This window comes from Homo sapiens, chromosome 22 (assembly GCF_000001405.40).
Source record: "Homo sapiens chromosome 22, GRCh38.p14 Primary Assembly".
Taxonomy (NCBI): domain Eukaryota; kingdom Metazoa; phylum Chordata; class Mammalia; order Primates; family Hominidae; genus Homo; species Homo sapiens.
The window spans coordinates 33291973-33310249 of NC_000022.11; the positions used below are offsets into that span (position 1 = coordinate 33291973).

General features: G+C 47.8%; 1 protein-coding gene across 24 annotated transcripts in view, besides 2 other annotated features; it reads right to left on the reverse strand.

Moving 5' to 3' along the window:
* Positions 1-18277, reverse strand: part of LARGE1 (LARGE xylosyl- and glucuronyltransferase 1) — an 856162-nt gene that overhangs the window by 225310 nt on the left and 612575 nt on the right. For all 24 annotated transcript variants that reach the window (XR_007067993.1, XR_002958722.2, XR_007067994.1 and 21 more), the window contains one exon: positions 12257-12535. Coding sequence is in view for 21 of the 24 variants with exons in the window: in XM_024452302.2 (XP_024308070.1) it covers positions 12257-12535 (279 nt within the window). In the remaining 3 variants the exon portion in view is untranslated. The remainder of the gene's footprint in view (positions 1-12256; positions 12536-18277) is intronic.
* Positions 7861-7910: an enhancer, noted in NCBI's record as "active region_18878". NCBI's record gives its function as "activates an Ori minimal core promoter by ATAC-STARR-seq in GM12878 lymphoblastoid cells {active_cell/tissue: GM12878}" and the evidence as "EXISTENCE:reporter gene assay evidence [ECO:0000049][PMID:35858748]".
* Positions 7921-8290: an enhancer, noted in NCBI's record as "active region_18879". NCBI's record gives its function as "activates an Ori minimal core promoter by ATAC-STARR-seq in GM12878 lymphoblastoid cells {active_cell/tissue: GM12878}" and the evidence as "EXISTENCE:reporter gene assay evidence [ECO:0000049][PMID:35858748]".

Consider the following 18277-nt stretch of genomic DNA (forward strand, 5'->3'; position numbering starts at 1 on the left):
AATCTCAGCTACGCAGGAGGCTGATGCAGGAGAATCGCTTGAACCAGGGAGGCGGAGGTTGCAATGAGCCGAGATCGTGCCACTGTACTCCAGTCTGGGTGACAGAGTGAGACTCTGTCTCAAAACAAAAACAAACACAAACAAACAAAACCCACAAAGAACCATCTTGGCAGCAGAGAGCAGCCCTCCCAGACAACGAATCTGCCACCAAGTTTGTTCTGACTTCCAAGCCTCTAGAACCATGGGGAATACATTTCTAAAAAATTACCCAGTCTCCAGTATTCTGTTATAGCACCACAAAACGAACTAGGACATATTACAAACCCAATTTGATGCCATCTTCAAGAAAACAAAATTAGAAAAATAATCCATCACTGAGGTTAAGAAAAGGAGAGAGCACAGTCAAATTTAAACAGGGACAAAGGATTCTGGAAGTATCTCTTTTTTGTGTCTTTCTATACTGGGGGGTTTGGGGGGCAACCTCAAGCAGCTGCAGGGCCAGGCCAGTGATGTGGATAATGGTGCAGGCTGATGGGGAGAGAGCACGATGTTCAATGGCAAAGGATGCCAGGCTTACATGTCGAGGAGACAAAAGGGAGAGGGGAGAGCAGGGGATGGGATAAACAGGAGAGTCCACGCCTAGCTGCTCCTCAATTCCAGCTGTGTGCCTGACATATGGGATTGGAGCCACAGAGTCTGATATTTCAAGAGGAGCCAACTGAAATTATCTTCAGCACACCTGATGGCTGGGTACCTCTCGTGGCATGCCAGTTTGAAGGGAGGCTGAACAGTGAGAAAAAAAGAGCATGATCTTTTTAATCGGATGATGTAGATTCCATCTTAATTCCACTACTTCCCTAACTGTGCAATCATGGGCCATTTTCTTAACACCCCGGGCTTTTGTTTCCTTATCTTGATAATAATAAATGCTTTATGGACTTGGTGATTAAGAGAACTAAGATAATATATTCATCAATTAATGAATATTAATGAAGCCAACACCTAAACCTTGGGCACAGAGCTAAATGAACACATATAACTTTGTCCATGCATAGCTCACAGTGTAGGGAGGGAGGAAGACAGAAGCATACTCCTCTCTGTGTGCAGAGTCATGGAAGACTTCTCATCACTGAGATGTGTTCCAATCAAGAAGCAGGAGTTAGCCAGTCAGGAAAGGGTGTTCCAGGTTATTTGCAAAGCTCTGATAACGAGAAAGCATATAGGATTGGAGAAACTGAATTTCTCAGCACCTGCCTGGTATACTGTAGGTGGTTGATAAATTATAATAAATGCTTACATGCATTGAGTTTCAAGCCCCATGCTAAGTGCTTTATATGCATTACTTCTCTTAATTATTGCAACCTATGACTTACATACTCATATTTTCAGTTTAATGATAAAGATATTAAAGTTCTGAGAGGTTAACAAGTAACTACCACACAGCTAGTAGTTATCATCATCATCATATAATGATATTAATGAAGTCTGCACCAGCTTAAAATTAAGCAGGAAAGATCAATAACCACAAGATGTATTGGGACCAAGTCTGTTAATGCAGTGATTGTGTCTGTCTTCCCAACCTTGCAACTGGAAAAATGAACTTCTTTGAGTTCATGGGTCAAGGCAGTAGTGGGAGAGTGGTTAGGAATGGCAAAAAGGGAGAAGGCAGGAGGCTACGATCTGTGTACCTATGCTCCTTAAATGCAATCTCATCCACATGGCAGATTCCACCTTGAATGAGCAAAGTGGAGCGGAGGTCAGAAAACAAAGAGTATTATGAGATTGGGAACATGTGTACTGATCCTACATGTCACTGGCTTATACTGAGCCTCCTATACTGGCTATTTCCTTTCATTACCACCCATGAGTCTCTCAAACTATTATAATCTGTCTTTGACTCTGTGGATCTGGCCAAAGTCAGCAATGTCCCCTCACTGTCAAGTCTAACAGATTTATCCATTCTCACCTTGTTTGAATTATCTCTGCATTTAGCACTAATGACCACTCCTACTAGCCTTATTTCAAGAAGCCCATCCCATAATTCTGAAGGCATCTTTCTACTCTCTCTTTTCTCACCAGGATGACTGACTTTCAGCCCACTGGATGCTGGTAACCATTTGGGACCTCTTGTGGCCCCTACTCCTCGGGCAGGGGTTGGGGAATTCCCCATCTCTGCCACTCAGGTTTCCACGCCTGTAACAGAAATGCCCGTGCTGACTTCTTTGCGGTGTTGCAATAAATGGCTGAGGCCAATGCTGACAAGTGACAAACTATTGGGAATCGCAGGGCTGAAGGCACTGGGGCTGCTGTCAGAATGCTGGGAGAGAACCAGACTTGTCAGCTCTCGGAGCCCTGGGTTTCCACAGCCCTGTTCTGCAGCATCAAATGTCAGAGAGCCCACTGTTTAATCAAACCTGAGTCGTAAGAAATCCATGTGGTTCTCATACAAGTTCCCAGGGACTCCTATGAAAGTTATATTAAAAGGGGACAGGAGGAGATAAAGAAACCTGTGCTGGAGTGTGCATCTGTTTCAGAAACCCTGGAACAGCACTGATTTCTCTCAAGATTTAGTGCATAGCCAGTTAGAAAAACCGGCCTCCCCGTACCTCCCTTCCCCACCTCCATGGGCCTTGATGTGTCTCCTTTCATGCTCCCCTTCATGTTGGGTCTGCATCTTCTTTGGGACTGGTTCATCCTAGACTGTTTCGCTCACTGGTGGTGGCTGCCTGTGCATGTACCTCTCAGCCCTGCTGGGCTTGAGGTCTGGGGTGAGCCTCTGTTCATGGTTACGTTTCCAGGTCCTGCACAGTGCCAGGCAAACGGTAGGCACTCAGTAAGTGTATAGGGAATGGAGGAATCTATTTGTAACTGCCCTATGCGGTAGAGAGGATGGGACTGTGAAGAGGCCTCTTTGGAAATGACAAAGACCTGAGTTGACACGATAGCTCTGCCACTTAAATACATATGACCTTTGGGCAAACTTAACTTCTGTGTTTTAATCTCACTTGTATAATGGGAATAAAAGCACTTATCTTTGACTAGGTTGTCCTAAAAAAGATAACATTTGCCCAGGGCCTAGCACAGCACCTGCCACGAGACAGGGCACTTATAAACAGTGTTTTTTCCTTCCTGGGTCCTTTACAGACGGTCATGCACTCATATTCTCGTGGATGCTCGTAAGAAGTGGATCAGCCAGTGGGGGTTAAAGAGAAAGCAGAGGCCTGGGTCTGAGATGCACCATCATTTTCTTATTTTAGCTTATTCCTGGCAAGGTGTGTGGGCATGAACCAGTGAGCTAGTGATGTGTGATGAGAAGCAGCAGGGCCAGTGCAGACACAGGTGTGATCAACCAGTGAGAGGCAAAGAAGGGCACACATGTGTGTGTACATGCGTGTGGGTGCCTATGTGACTTTGGGAGACTACGAGAAGCCCTCTTGTCTCCAGCTGTCCCTCATAGCTGTTTAAACTGACTAGCTTCAATAGTGCTAGACGTAAGCATGGCTTTTGACCAAGGCAATGGGAAATCATGTGAATGACACCTGAGGATTTAGCAATCTACCTTAGGGTGACAATACGTGGGCAGAGAGGAAGGAAGGAGCCACCTGTGCTGCTCACTCTGGAGGCCACCTCAGCACAGCCCTGTCCTCCTCTTGTCTCATCCCTAAACATAAAGGCCAGGGAATAGGGTTTGCTCGATTCTACTCCAGTTGTCTAGGAAATGAGCTCTTGGCTGACTGGCTTCCAGGAGCTTTGTGGGGACAACAGCAAGGACTTGCAAATGAGGGAGACAGGGCAGCCCACAGAGTGCCACTGTAGAATACACACATAATACATGAGGTCAGACATGGGCATGTCATCTGAGAGCCAGATGGGCTCACAGGCATGAGCAAGATCCGGTGATTCCTTAATGGGTGGCATTAACATTTCCAGAGGAAGAACCTGTCAGTCAGAGAGGGGCAGGTGAGAAAGAGAAGCTAAGAAGGAGCTTTTGGGGTAAATTTTACAAATAAAAAGTAGTAATGATTGCCATAGTTTACTGAGCACTTGACCATGTGCGAGGCTCTGTGCTAGAGACTCTGTCTCCACCATCTCAGGTAATGCTCAACATTCCTGTTTAATTACCCCACTGTCCTGATGTTTACTGTTAGTAATAATAGCTAAACGTTGTAGAGCACTTGCCACGTACTGGCATAGAGTTAAACGCTGGCTGGGGATCACGGGGGCCTGGCACTAAGGAGGGCAGCTGTGCGGCAGACTGCCTGGATTCAGATCCCACTTGCATGGACACTCACCAGCTCATACTCTTGAACACGTTACAACTTTGTGCCACAGTTTTCTTCTCTGTGAGCTGGGGACTGTATTAGCAGCTGTGCTGTGTGACTTTGTAAGAACTACATGGATTATCTGGTGCAAAGATTAAAATAGTTCCCTGGTGTATAGGATACATTTGGCAAATACAAGCCATGATGATGGTCATGGCCATCACGATGAAGATAAAATGGGCCTATCGGGCAACTGGATCAATAAACAGGCTAAGCATAGAACACCTATGGATAAGCCTAAGATGAGCCAGTTATCCTTTTTCTTTTTTCTTTTCTTTTTTTTTTTTTTTTGAGATGGAGTTTCTCTCTTGTTGCCCAGGCTGGAGTGCAATGGCGCGATCTCATCTCACCGCAATGTCTGCCTCCGAGGTTCAAGCGATTTTCCTGCCTCAGCCTCCTGAGTAGCTGGGATTACAGGCATGCACCACCACGTCCAACTAATTTTTGTATTTTTAGTTGAGACGGGGTTTCTCCATGTTGGTCAGGCTGGTCTTGAACTCCCAACCTCAGGTGATCTGCCCACCTCGGCCTCCCAAAGTGCTGGGACTACAGGTATAAGCCACTGCGCCCAGCCCGCCAGTTATCCTTTTAGTACTGCTGTGCCCTTGGGCATGTTACTTAGCCTGAACGTCCTCATTTGTAAGATGAATTGTGGTGAGCCTTAATGGTAAAATACAGGTGAAAGGGCTCATAACAGTGCTTGGCGCATAGTAAGTGCTCAGTAAATGTTGAATGTTATAGATACAGCAGAGTTAAGACAATGAATGGGCCCAAGGAAATGTTACCTGGTAATGTCTCTGGGCAGGCAGCCAGTCAGCTTCACCTGGTGCCACCTCTACCTGGCTTTGTTCACATGTCTGCACTCATTCAACAAGTATTTATAGAACAGCCATGATGTGCCAGGGAAAATGTAAGGGGGTAGGTGGTTAGATGTCAAGCTGGGGAGAAAAGAGTCGAACAGAAATCTGGCATTCCTACACAGTGTCAGAATACAGTCTCTACCCAGTGTGGCCTATTTGTCCTCAAGAAGGGGGCTGGGCGCAGTGGTTCACACCTGTAATCCCAGCACTTTGAGAGGCAGAGATGGGCAGATCACCTGAGGTCAGGAGTCTGAGACCAGCCTGGCCAACACGGCAAAACTCCGTCTCTACTGAAAAATACAAAAAAAATTAGCCAGGTGTGGTGGCATGTGCCTATAATCCCAGCTACTTGGGAGGCTGAGGCAGGACAATTGCTTGAACCTGAGGGGCAGAGGTTGCAGTGAGCCAAGATCGTGCCACTGCACTCCAGCCTGGGCGGCATAAGACTCCGTCTCAAAAAAAAAAAAAAAAAAGAAGGGTTTGTCCCCAAGAAGGCAAAAGGCAGTGAGGACAGTAGAGATACTTTACACTTTGGGCATGGATTAAAGATGAGGATTCCTCACGCCTATAATCCCAGCACTTTGGGAGGCCGAGGTGGGCGGATCACCTGAGGTCAGGAGTTCAAGACCAGCCTGGCCAACATGGTGAAACCCTGTCTCTACTAAAAATACAAAAATTAGCGAGGCGTGGTGGCAGGCGCCTGTAATCCTAGCTACTCAGGAGGCTGAGGCAGGAGAATCGCTTGAACCCGGGAGGCAGAGGTTGCAGTGAGCTGAGATCACGCCATTGCACTCCAGCCTGGGGACAAGGGCGAGACATCATCTCAAAAAAAAAAAAAAAAAAAAAAAGATGATGATTCTGCAGGGTCAGTGAAAGGTGTCAGAAACCTGTACCAGTCTCATGAATGTGGAAAGTCTCAGCAGAGTGAAGCTGTCCAGGTCTTGGAAATGCCACGATGTCTCACGTCTTCCTCTCTCCTCATTTAGAGACCTTCAGTGTGCACCCACATTGGGTCATTCCCTTATTAGTTTGAGCTCCTGTATCTCTCAGCCTCGTATCTGTGTGAATCCCGATGCTAGCAATGGCACATACAGCTGCAATGACCACCAGGCTGTAAACCTGAGGGCCAGAACTTTGTCTCCCCTGTTCACTGTTCTAGCCCCAGCACCTGAAACAGTGCCTGGCCACGCAGAGGCATGGAACAAAGAATGTTTCGGGCATTCCTGGGTGCTCTGCAAATACTGTTAGCTCTTATCTTCTCAGTTCCTTAAGAACTGGGGAAGAGGAAAAAGCAGTATGATTCCCACTTCACAGATAAAACAAGTTAGAGAAGTTAAGTGCCTTTCCCAAGGTCAAATAAATTCTAAATAAAGAGTACTCAGCATCAGTCAGCCATGGTGGCTCACGCCTGTAATCCTAGGGTTGTGGGAGGCTGAGGCAGGAGCACTGCTTGAGCCCAGGAGTTTGAGACTAGCCTGGACAATAGGGTCTGGGTTATGTTTATTTTTCTAAAAGGAAATTAAAAAATTAGCTGGGCAAGGTGGTGTACAACTGTAGTCCCAGCTACTTGGGAGGCTGAGGCAGGAAGATTGCTTGAGCCCAGGAGTTTGAGGCTGCAGTAAGCTATGATTGCACCACTGCACTCCAGCCTGGGTGACAGAGCAAGACCCTGTGTCTAAAGAGAAGTAAAGGAAAGAAAGAAGAAAGAAAAGAAAAAAGAAAAGAAAAAGGAAAGATGGAAAGAAAGAAAAAAGGAAAGAGAGAGAGAGAGACGCGGGAAGCAGTGGCTCTTGCCTGTAATCCCAGCACTTTGGGAGGCCTGGGTGGGCGGATCACTTGAGACTAGGAGTTCAAGACCAGCCTGGGCAACATAGCGAAACCCTGTCTTTACAAATGGTAAAAAAAAAATTGGCCCAGCATGGTGGCGCATGCCTATAATCCCAGCTACTGGGGAGACTAAAGTGGGAGCATCGCTTGAGCCTGGGGAGGTTGAGGTTGCGGTGAGCCATGATTGCACCATTCCACTCCAGCCTGAGCAACAGAGTGAGAGAGAGAGAGGAAGCAGTATGGAAAGAAATGAATTAAAGAGAGAAAATGAGAAAAGAGAGAAAAAGAAAGAAAGAGAGAGAGAAAGAAAGGAAGGGAAGGAAAGGAGTGGAGGGGAGGGGAAAAGAGGGAAGGGAAAGGGGAGGGAGAGTCCTCTGCACTGAAACGCAGGTCTGAATGACCCCCAGGGACAGCAACATCACCTACAATGTAGCATACTGCCTGACACATAGTACATGCTCACTACACAGTTTTTGAAAGAATGAGTAGTATCAATATATAGTTTCTCATTTTCAGAAAGCAAAAAAATTGAGATGGTCACATGAAGCTACCCAGGCTGCACAGAAGGTGGCAGAGTTTGCAATGGCGGGGGTTGGGTTGGGGCAGGGGCCTAGCACAGAAGTCCAATACTGAATAGGCCAAGGGGCAGAAAATGAACTCCTGCTGGGCACCCGCCATAGCCCCACAGGAGGCTATCATTAGCTCCTATATTAACTGAGGAAGTGAAAGAATGAGGAGATGAAGCAAGCAGCCCCAACTCACACACTTGATTAGTGTTGTGGAACCTGGCTTCAAAGGCAAGTCTGCGCAACCTCTGCCATGCCCCGCTGACTTTCGCCTGACATTTCTGAGATCAAAAGTGAAAGCTGTACATCCAGGAGCTCATTCTTCAGAAAAAGTAGATGAAGGGGCTGGAAGGAGATTTTAGTAAAACTCTGCAGCTATTGTCCATGCGTACAGCTTATTCCATTATTTTCCAATTGATCTGTTTGTTTTGGCTGTAATATTAGCTGGTTGCTAAGCAACTGCTCAAAGAGCTAACATGCTGAACTTTTTTTGGTAACCAAATAGAACCCCAAAAAAGGTGATATAAATCAGTGTTTGGGGGTACAAGCCGAGGGCTGCCAGTCGGCCTGCTCTGGTACCCTGGGGGTTTGGGAGTAACCTGGCCCCTTCGACAGAGTGAGCAGGCTGGCATGGAGGAAGGCTGCTTTCCTCCTCCTCTAATGCTAACATTTAACTTCTCTGGGGCCTCAGTTTGGTCACCTGTAATGGTAGTTACCTTAAAGAGCAGTGTGAAGAACAGAGGTAATGACAGACTGAGTGCAGCTGGCAGGGTTTCTGGCACATGGTAAGGGCTCAGTAACTTGTAACTGTCATCATTCTTAAGTAATTAACAAATGTGTTTTTTTGAGATAGGGTGTTGCCCTGCTGTTCAGGATGGAGTGCAGTGGCACAATCATGGCTCACTCTAGCTTCAGCTGCCTGGGCTCAGGAGATCATCCTGTCTCAACCTCCCAAGTCGCTGAAACAACAGGCATGTTCCACAATGCTCAGCAATTTTTTTTCTTTTTTTTGGAGATGGAGTCTCACTCTGTTGCCAGGCTGGAGTGCAGTGGTGCGATGTCAGCTCACTGCAACCTCTGCCTTCCGGGGTTCAAGCGATTCCCCTGCCTCAGCCTCCCTAGTAGCTGGGACTACAGGCATGCACCACCATGCCCAGCTAATTTATGGTATTTCAGTAGAGATGGGGTTTCACCATGTTGGCCAGGATGGTCTCGATCTTCTGACCTCGTGATTCACCGGCCTCGGCCTCCCAAAGTGCTGGGATTACACGCGTGAGCCACCGCGCCTGGCCAATTTTTGAAATTTTTTGTAGAGATGGGGTCTCACTATATTGCTCAGGCTGGTCTCGAATTCCTGGGTTCAAGCAATTCTCCCACCTCAGCCTCCTAAAATGCTGGGTGACAGGTGTTAGCCACTGCACCTGGCCAATATTAATATCTTGACAGAGCTTGGGTACAGAATTTTATGGGAGATCAGTGCTGAGAAAGTCAGTTTCTAGAAGGGTCTGGGGGCTTCATTGGAGTCCTCAGCTGCCACAGCAAACAGCACCCTTAACCTCAACTCCCACCAGTGATGCTATGGTGTGCACAAGGGGCATCCACTGGTAACGTCTGGGTCAGAAATGAATCCATCTACTCACCAGAAAAAATGTCCCTGAAGCCAAGGGTAAGTTGATATGATTATGTCATATGAAAAGAACAGTGTCTGCTTATTTGGGGCTTCCGAGAGAATGACATTCCTCATTGATTCTCATAAATACTTTGGTGCCTAGGAATTGTCTAGGTCAGAGGTTACACTCTGGTAGTTTGGGGTGGGGGTGTGAGGAGTCAAGGCAGCCTGAAGGCATATTTTGTCGGCCTCAACAGCATTTGAAATGATTTTTTTGCTCCAAATCATCATCTAAAAACAATTTTTAAAAATTAGTTGCCAACATTAAAAAAACATTTTATATGAAAATCCAGATTCCCAACTCCTCTTGAAAAATATGAATACCTAGTAACCTTCCCTGCGTCCATAAAGCAATAATGGCACGATTGTGTGGAGAGACGACTGGCTCCCTGAGACCAGGGCTCTGGTCTCTCTATTGAATTGTACTCAGCATTCTTGGGAAAAGTCTGGGAAGAAAGTAATAAAGTTTTAAAAGCAATTTGCAATATTTCAAAACCCCTGAGGGGAACCACATACCTTCCTGTGATAAGGTAGCTAAGGCCAACTACCACCTCAAGTGACTCTGCATTAAGCAAGTGCTAAGTAGAAGGGCACACTAGCTACCTCACTTCAAGTAGGGTCTGGATTAGCAGTGAACGATGCCTTTAATTAATAAAACATAGAAAGACAAAGAAAAAAAAACTGTTCATACGTATTGCTTTTTAAAACATGATGCCCATGAGGTCAAATAATTAAATAGTCCTTGCACAGGGAGTAGAGACCACAGACTCATACGGGGCCAGCTCACTTTCAATTGGCTGGAGCGAAGAAGAGTCCCAGAGGGGTGGAGGGTGGGCAGGGGTCCAATCCTGAAGCCTCTTTTCTTAGTCTAGGGTGGCACTCACTCCCATCATCTATCTGTTCCCTTGGGAGCCTGTCATCCCGGAAGCTGCCCAAGTTTCAGAATCTGCAGGCATCAGAGGCTGCAAGCCCCGTCTGGCCACATGGGGGCACCCTGGCTCCACACACTGGATTCTAAGACCCAGCAGGCACTGGCACAGGCGCTGGGGCTGGAGGGAGTGCTCCATTTCTGCAGCCTGGTGGGTCAGGGGTTGAGGCTCATGGTGCTGGGTACCACAGCACCTCCCATTCCCGATTCAGGGTCATGCTGCCTAGGGGTCGCTGACCCTACTGTTTTTAACAGAGTCTGGTAGGGACTCCTCCCGCCCCAGGGGAGGGATTAACACTAGGAAACCCGGAGATGTCCCTGGAAGGACACGGACTCAGAAGCTGGAGAGAGAACACAGGCTGCCTGACCTTGCTCCAGACAGCGCAGGGCACGGAGGGTATGCAGGCTAAACCTACGCTTTGGCTTCCCGACAGAAAGTTTAAAGACTCCTAGAAGCTCTTTTCAGAGAGAAAGAGACAGAGGCAGTAAGAGAAAGATACTAAGAGACAGAGAGACGGAGTCAGAAGGAGGGAGGGAGAGCAAGAGAACGAGAGAGAAAGAAATCAGACCTTGCCTGGTTTGCGACAAACAGAAACCCCAGCGCAGCCCAACAACGTGTAGCAGGGTGACGGGCAGACCTGGGGCTGCAGACGCTGGTTCACACCCTGGCGTGAGCTCTCTGGACTTGGACTGTTATTTTGCTTCTCTGGGCCCCACTCTTCCTTCCTGTAGAATGCAGGTAGCTATACCTGCCTCTGGGGTTCGATGTGTAGAACCAATGGGATGATATATGCAAATCACCTCTCATGGTACCTGGATCTAGGCAGGCACTCACTAGGTATTGGCATAATTCATGCTGACCAATGGCAGTAAATAAAGGATTTTTTTAAAATGTCATTGGACCATGATACTGTGTGACTTTAGTTTTCTCATGTGTGAAATGGGACCTTTGGGCCATATGACTTCCATGGCTCCTATCAATCCGAATTGTGTACTATTCTGTAATAAATGCACTCTTCACACAGCCATCTAAGCCTTCCATTAGCCGAGTGCTTTCTCCAGCTGCTGACACCCCGTCCCATGATGTGGGGGGAGCTGGAAAGGGACACTGGAGATTCACAGAAGCAGTTGTCATGGTGCTTATGCACTTGGCTCTGCAGCCAGACTGGCTGTTTCCACCCCAGTTTCCCTTTCCTAGATGAGTAACCCCGGGCCAACGGCTCCTGGTCTCGGTCCCACAGTTCCCCATTTAGAAAAGGAAGGTGATAATACTACCCACGGCAGGGACTTTGGGGGAGGAAATGAGATCCTACCTCTCAAGCACTCAGAACAGTGCCTGGCGCGCAGCAAACACTTCCATAAGCACTAGGCATCATCATCACTTAGATTTGTTTAAAAGACTGGGCAATAATCTTTCTTGGGTTATATGAAGGTTGTCTGGTCCAAAACCAGAAGAAGGAGGGTATGTTTTCTTCTATTTATTATTATTATTTTTTGAGAAGGAGTCTTGCTCTGTCACCAGGCTGGAGTGCAGTGGAGCAATCTCGGCTCACTGCAACCTCCGACTCCCTGGTTCAAGAGATTCTCCTGCCTCAGCTTCCCAAGTAGCTGGGATTACGGGCACATGCCACCAAGCCCAGCTAATTTTTTTGGTATTTTTAGTAGGGGGGGGGTTTCACCATGTTGGCCAGGATGGTCTCGAACTCCTGACCTCGTGATCCACCTGCCTCAGCCTCCCAAAGTGCTAGGATTACAGGCGAGAGCCATCGCGTGCCTGCCTGAGGAGGGTATGTTTTCATAGATGCTACAGAAAAAGCAATAGACTGGCAGACAAAAAGAGATGTTCGCTGGACCAAGCTCTGCCATCAACATTTCCTTCTGCAAACTCAGGTTTCAGTCTGTTCACTGAGAACTCTATTGCTGGGTGGCTGTGGGCAGGTCCCTTCCCCTTTCTGGGTCTCTGCTGCCCCATCTGGAAAAGAAACCTGTTGGACTAGATGATGACCCTAAGGGCCTTTTGGTCCTGGCACTGCATGGCCCTATGTGCCTTCTGGCCTGATGGCCAGGCCCCTGCAGGTCCTTACCTGAGGTACTCATAGAGCCCATACATGGGCAGGAAGTCAATGTCAGACAGGAACATGTAGGGAGTGCTGATGTGCTTCATGGCCACGTTGCGCAGCAGGTTCACGGGGTAGAACTGGCCCTCCTTGTACACGATGTGGTAGCCCACGTTGTGGCGGCTCATAAGCACCTCAGAGCCCTGTGCGTAGCGGAGGAACTGCTGGGCCTCGGCGTCTGACAGGTAGAGGGCCAGGCTGATGGGCCCCTCCCAGTGCTTGCAGATGGCCTCCAGCATCTGGAGCCTGGAAGAGACAGGGAGGGTGAGCCGCGGGACCTGGGCCATCCATGCATCATCCGCCGGGCCTGTTGTGGGGCTCTGCCTCCAGTGACACTTGATCAACCAGCTGTGGATCAAATCCCTGCTTTCAACGTTGACTCACTCAGTTCCTTTACCTATAAAACAGGCATCAAAACACTTACCTTGCTGGTTCTCATCTTTCCCTGCTTCCAACTGAACATGTGATATGAAGTTGTATCCCACTATAAGCCTTGGACTCCTCGTTTCAAAGCCAGGTGGTGAGTATATTAAATGATTTGAAGATCCCCTTCCAGCCCCAAAGTCCTACACTTCTCTCTCCACAAAGGTATAAAAAAGCTCTGCTGATCTCCTAAGGCAGTGACCAGCCAGAGAGGACTTACACAAACTTAGAGGCTGCTAAGTTACAAGGAACGGTAAAATAAACAGTAAACACAAGAGCTACAACAACTATAATTACAGATGTGCTGCAGTGTGCCAGGAGCTTCCCAGAATTCTCTCAATAACCTTGAGCACTAGCTGTCATTCTCCCCATTTTCCTGATGGAGGAACGGACGTGCCGTATGTTCAATCAGCTTGGCCTCTTACACTTAGAGGCCAGACATGTGTAGACAGGTACCCTGATGGGACCTTGGAGTCAGGGAGAAAAAAATAACACTAAAAAAGGGAATAGAAAAATATGTGAATGTTGGAAACAAAAGTCTACCTGGGGTGATGCTGTCTGCATCACTCGTCTTCAGAGCCCCTACTACCCCAGGGCGCCAGGCAACTGTGCAAGGCTACCTCAGAGATGCTGAGCCAGGGAGAGGGGGAAAAATAGAGCCCAGGGAAAAAATTAAAAAAAAAAAAAAAAAAGGTGTGTGTGGAGGGTTTGCAACAGAGAGGGTTCTGCAAAGACGTCTGAAGATAAATCTATAAAGATATTTTCTTTCAAAGGCGTTAGAAGCGTCTGGTACATAAAATCTATGGCTAAGAAACAGCAAAAGCCTACTTGAATTGTTTTTCCTTACCCAGCAAGAGGTACGTAATCAGCAGTCTCCTGGTCAGAATGCCCACTTTATTCGGACGATTACCAGGAAATCGATTCCATGCATTTCCATGCTTCTAAACAAAAGGAAATGGGCACACCTATCTTGTTTCAATGGCCTTTTTGATGACTTCCAGAGTTTTCTCTCAGTAATTCTGTTAAGTGGCACTGCCCAGATTTGCTTCCTCGTTCAATAGGGAGGATTAAGATATTCACCAGTGCAAAATGCTCTCCATTTCTCATCCATTATAATGCTTGCTAACCAAATTGACCAGAAACATTTCTTTTTCTTTTTCTTTTTTTTTTTTTTGAGGCGGAGTCTTGCTCTGTTGCCCAGGATGGTGCAGTGGCGTGATCTCAGCTCACTGCAAGCTCCGCCTCCCGGGTTCACGCCATTCTCCTGCCTCAGCCTCCCGAGTAGCTGGGATTACAGCCGCCCGCTACCACGCCCGGCTAATTTTCTTCTTTGTATTTTTTAGTACAGACGGGGTTTCACCATCTTAGCCAGCATGGTCTCGATCTCCTGACCTCGTGATCCGCCCACCTCGGCCTCCCAAAGTGCTGGGCTTACAGGCGTGAGCCACCGCGCCTGGCCGACCAGAGCCATTTCTTAAAAAGGCATGCATTCTCCATGACGCCTAATTGCACTGAACTTTGTACTAGACTTCTGCTGTGGGGGCCTGCCCTCTCCTGGGCTCTGATCTGGAATTTTGAATTATGCCTCCTGCACCTGTTTTACCTTCTGCAAATGTGGGGGACTCTGCGCTTCATGAGAGGGCCATTTGTACAACTCCTCTGAGAATTGGAGAGCAAAACGCAAGAATAATTTCTAGCATGTAGACATGAGACCTGCTGAAGGAAGTGGGCGGAAGGAGGGAGGTTTGGCTGGGCATGAAGAGAGGACCACTTCTCAGGATTCTCTCACTGGCTTGGTTTTTGCCTCTGTGTCTCAGTTTTCCAAGAAAGGAACCCCTCCCCTGCCCCGTGACCTGCCACAGTCCCTCTCCTAAGCTCAGCCAAGAGTTTAGGGTAAGAACAGAGAGGCCAGGAGCGGTGGCTCATGCCTGTAATCCCAGCACTTTGGGAGGCCAAGGCGGGCAGATCATCGAGGTCAGGAATTCAAGACCAGCCTGACTGACATGGTGAAACCCCATCTCTACTAAAAATACAAAAATATTAGCCAGGCGTGGTAGTGAACGCCTGTAGTCCCAGCTACTTGTGAGGCTGACACAGAAGAATCGCTTGAACCCAGGGGGTGGAGGTTGCAGTGAGCTGAGATCGCACCATTGCACTCCAGAGTGAGAATCTGTCTCAAAAAAAAAAAAAAAAAGAATAGAGAAAAAATACTCAAGGTTCTCAGAAGGTGCTGTGCACATGAAAAATAAGTTGAGCTTTACAGATAACACAGCTGGATGTTGTTCTGTGGAACCTCCACAAGCGAGACAGAATGGTGACACAACGCACTGCTGTTTCTATGCCCTCCAGCCCCAATCTCTCCAATCTTTAGTCCCTTAGAACCAACTTTTCTGCCAGGACCTGAACAACTGTGACAAACTGAGGTTTCTAATAATGATGGTAATATTTAAAGTGTGATCATGATCTCATCCATCTCCCCCTTTACCTGCTGCTTGTCATGTCTTTGCCACACTGTGGCTATCATATTTAATCCTCATAGTAACTATAATATTGAGATTGTCACCACCCTCTTACAGGCAAGGAAGCTTAAGGGGGTGAAATAACTTCTTTCAAGTCACGCAGTTACAAAGTGAAGGACATAGATTCACATTCGGGTCTACCTCACCCCAAAGCCCGGATCCAGGTCATTATTTACTATGGATTGGGGTTAGGCTGAGAACAATGTTCCCAAATATCTTTGCTTCATTGTCTGTTTCCCCAAGTAAGAGCGTGTTCTTCTCCCGGTGTCAATGCCTCCCCACTCTTTCCCCTCCTCAGTCCCTCTTGGTATCTGTCTCAAAGTTCCACAATCCCCTCGGCCCTCTCCTCAGGTTCTATTTCTGCCTCTCAAACATGTCTTCACCTAATACATATTTGTTATTTCCAATGCATCGGATATACTATACAGATAAGGGGCCTGGGCACCGGCATTTCAGGAGCTTTTATTCTAGTGGGGAAAAAAGACAATCAACAAACCAGAGTTTGATTAGGGAGGTGATCAGGTCATGAAGGTGGAACTCTCATGAATGAGATTGGTGCCCTTTTTCTTTTCTTTTTTTTTTTTGAGACAGAGTCTCACTCTGTTGCCCAGGCTGGAGGCAGTGGTGCGATCTCGGCTCACTGCAACCTCTACCTCCTAGGTTCTCTCCCCTCATGTGTTCCCTAAGGGTCGTCCCCGTGCAGTTCTTGCTGATGCCAAGCTCTGTGGCCAGGCTTTCTTTTGCTGGATGAGTCCATGGAAGAGCTGACCCTAAACCCAGAAGGCCTGTCTCTGTCCCATGTTGGTTCCCACTACCCCATCGAGCCCACCACTGCTTCATCTAGGGAGGGGTGGGCAAAGGCTCAGAAATGTCTGGCAGATCTAAAAACAGGTGGGGGCTATTCCAGAGAGTCCCATTAAAGCTGGAAGCCTCACGCAGTCTCTGTAGTCATAAAGGAACAGGTAGGGAGACGGCCAGGTCAGAAACCCAGAAGACCAGGGCTGGAAGGAATTCTAGAGTCTCAGTGGGACTAAGCAGCCCAGGCAGTGATCACTCAGTGTCTGCTGGGATGGGGAACTCACACCCACCAAGGCGGACCATTCTAATCTGGTGCACTGCCCATGAGGCAGGCTGTGTAGCATATCACACAGCTTGCAACTGTAGGTTTTGGGGTCAGACAGGCCTGGATTTGTCCTCTGAGCTATGTCAGTATTCCTGGGCAAGTGACAGCTCTTTGAGCTTCAATTTGCACATATGTATTTTGGGGATAATAATGCCTTTGGTAGATTACAAAATAGCTATCAATCGTCCCTTTGCCTCTATCCATACCCTCTGGAAATAATCTCCCACATGAATCCTGGCCACATGACTTGCTTTGGTCCATGCGATATTAGCAAACATGACATGAGAAGAGGTGAGACAACCGGCTTGTACCTGCCGCCATGTGAACTAGCCCTACACCACCTTGCCCTGGCGTTCCCATGGTCCCTGCTGATAGCCAGACAAACCCCCGAAAAGCTACCTAGTTTACGGCAGACACAGGAATGAGCCCAGCAGAGTCTAGCCCACACTGCCAATCCAAAGAATCACAAGCTCATTCCAGTTCTTGTACTAAGCTGCTAAGACTCAGGGCAGTTTGTGAAACAGTAACATTTACTTGGATTTGAGGGTTAAATGAGATGATGATACAAAGTGTCTGGTGCAAAGCTAGATATACAGCAGGTACTCAGTATATGACAGCTGTAATTTCCTCCTTAGGTTCTATTTCTGCCTCTCAAACATGTCTTCACCTAATAAATATTTGTTATTTCCAATGCATCTGGTATACTATACAGGCAAGGGGCCTAGGCGCCTGCATTTCAGGAGCTTTTATTCTAGTGGGGAAAAAAGACAATCGACAAACCAGAGGTTTGATTGGGGGGTGATTAGGTCATGAGGGTGGAACTCTCTTGAATGAGATTCGTGCCTTTTTTTTTTTTTTGAGACTGAGTCTCACTCTGTTGCCCAGGCTGGAGTGCAGTGGTGCGATCTCAGCTCACTGCAACCTCCACCTCCCAGGTTCAAGCGATTTTCCTGTCTCAGCCTTCTGAGTAGCTGGGATTACAGGTGTGCACCACCACAGCTGGCTAAGTTTTCTATTTTTAGTAGAGATGGGATTTCGCCATGTTGGCCAGGCTGGTCTGGAGCTCCTGACCTCAGGTGATTTGACTGCCTTGGCCTCCCAAAGTACTGGGATTACAGGTATGAGCCACCACACCTAGCCTTCATGCCCTTTTAAGAGGCCCAGGGAGCTAGCTGGCTCCTTCCACCACGTGAGGACACAGTAATGAGGCACTCTCTGTGAGCCAGGAAGTGCCCCCTCGCCAGACACCAAATCGACCGAAGCCTTGATCTTGGACTTCCAGCCTCCAGCACTGTGATAAATACATTTCCATTGTTCATATATCAAATAATTTGTGGCATTTTGTTACAGCAGATAATGAGAAGGATCTGGCGTTGTGAAAAGTCTGGGGGGAAAGCTCTCCAAGAAGAGGGGATGGCCCTTGGGGTAACAATGGGCTCAGCATGTTCGAGCAGGAAGAAACAGGACCAGTGTGGGTGCAGCACAGGACGGTGAGGGGCAGGGGTGAGATGAAGGTGTCAGGGGTTGCACAGATGCCAGGCTGGATGGGCCTTGAAGACCACAGCAGGCGGGTGGGACACTGTTCCACATGTAACAAGAAGTCATCTGAGGGTTTTAATGATGTGACCTGATTTACATTTTTAAAACATCGCTCTGCCTGTTACATGGAGAAAAAATTACCTTTCACTCTCCAGAACGGTCAGTGCTTTCAAATGTAAGCTTCTTAAAGATCACCTGCGGGGCTTCTTAAGACCCCTATTTCCAGGCACCACCCGAGATTCTGGTTCAGGAGGTCTGGGGTGGGGCCTGAGAATCTGTATTTCTGACAAGCTCCCATGCAATGCTGTGTTGCTGGTTCCAGGAGCAGGCTTGAAGCAACGCTGTTCTAGAGAGTAGGGCTCTGTGAGCCCAGCCCATTCTCTC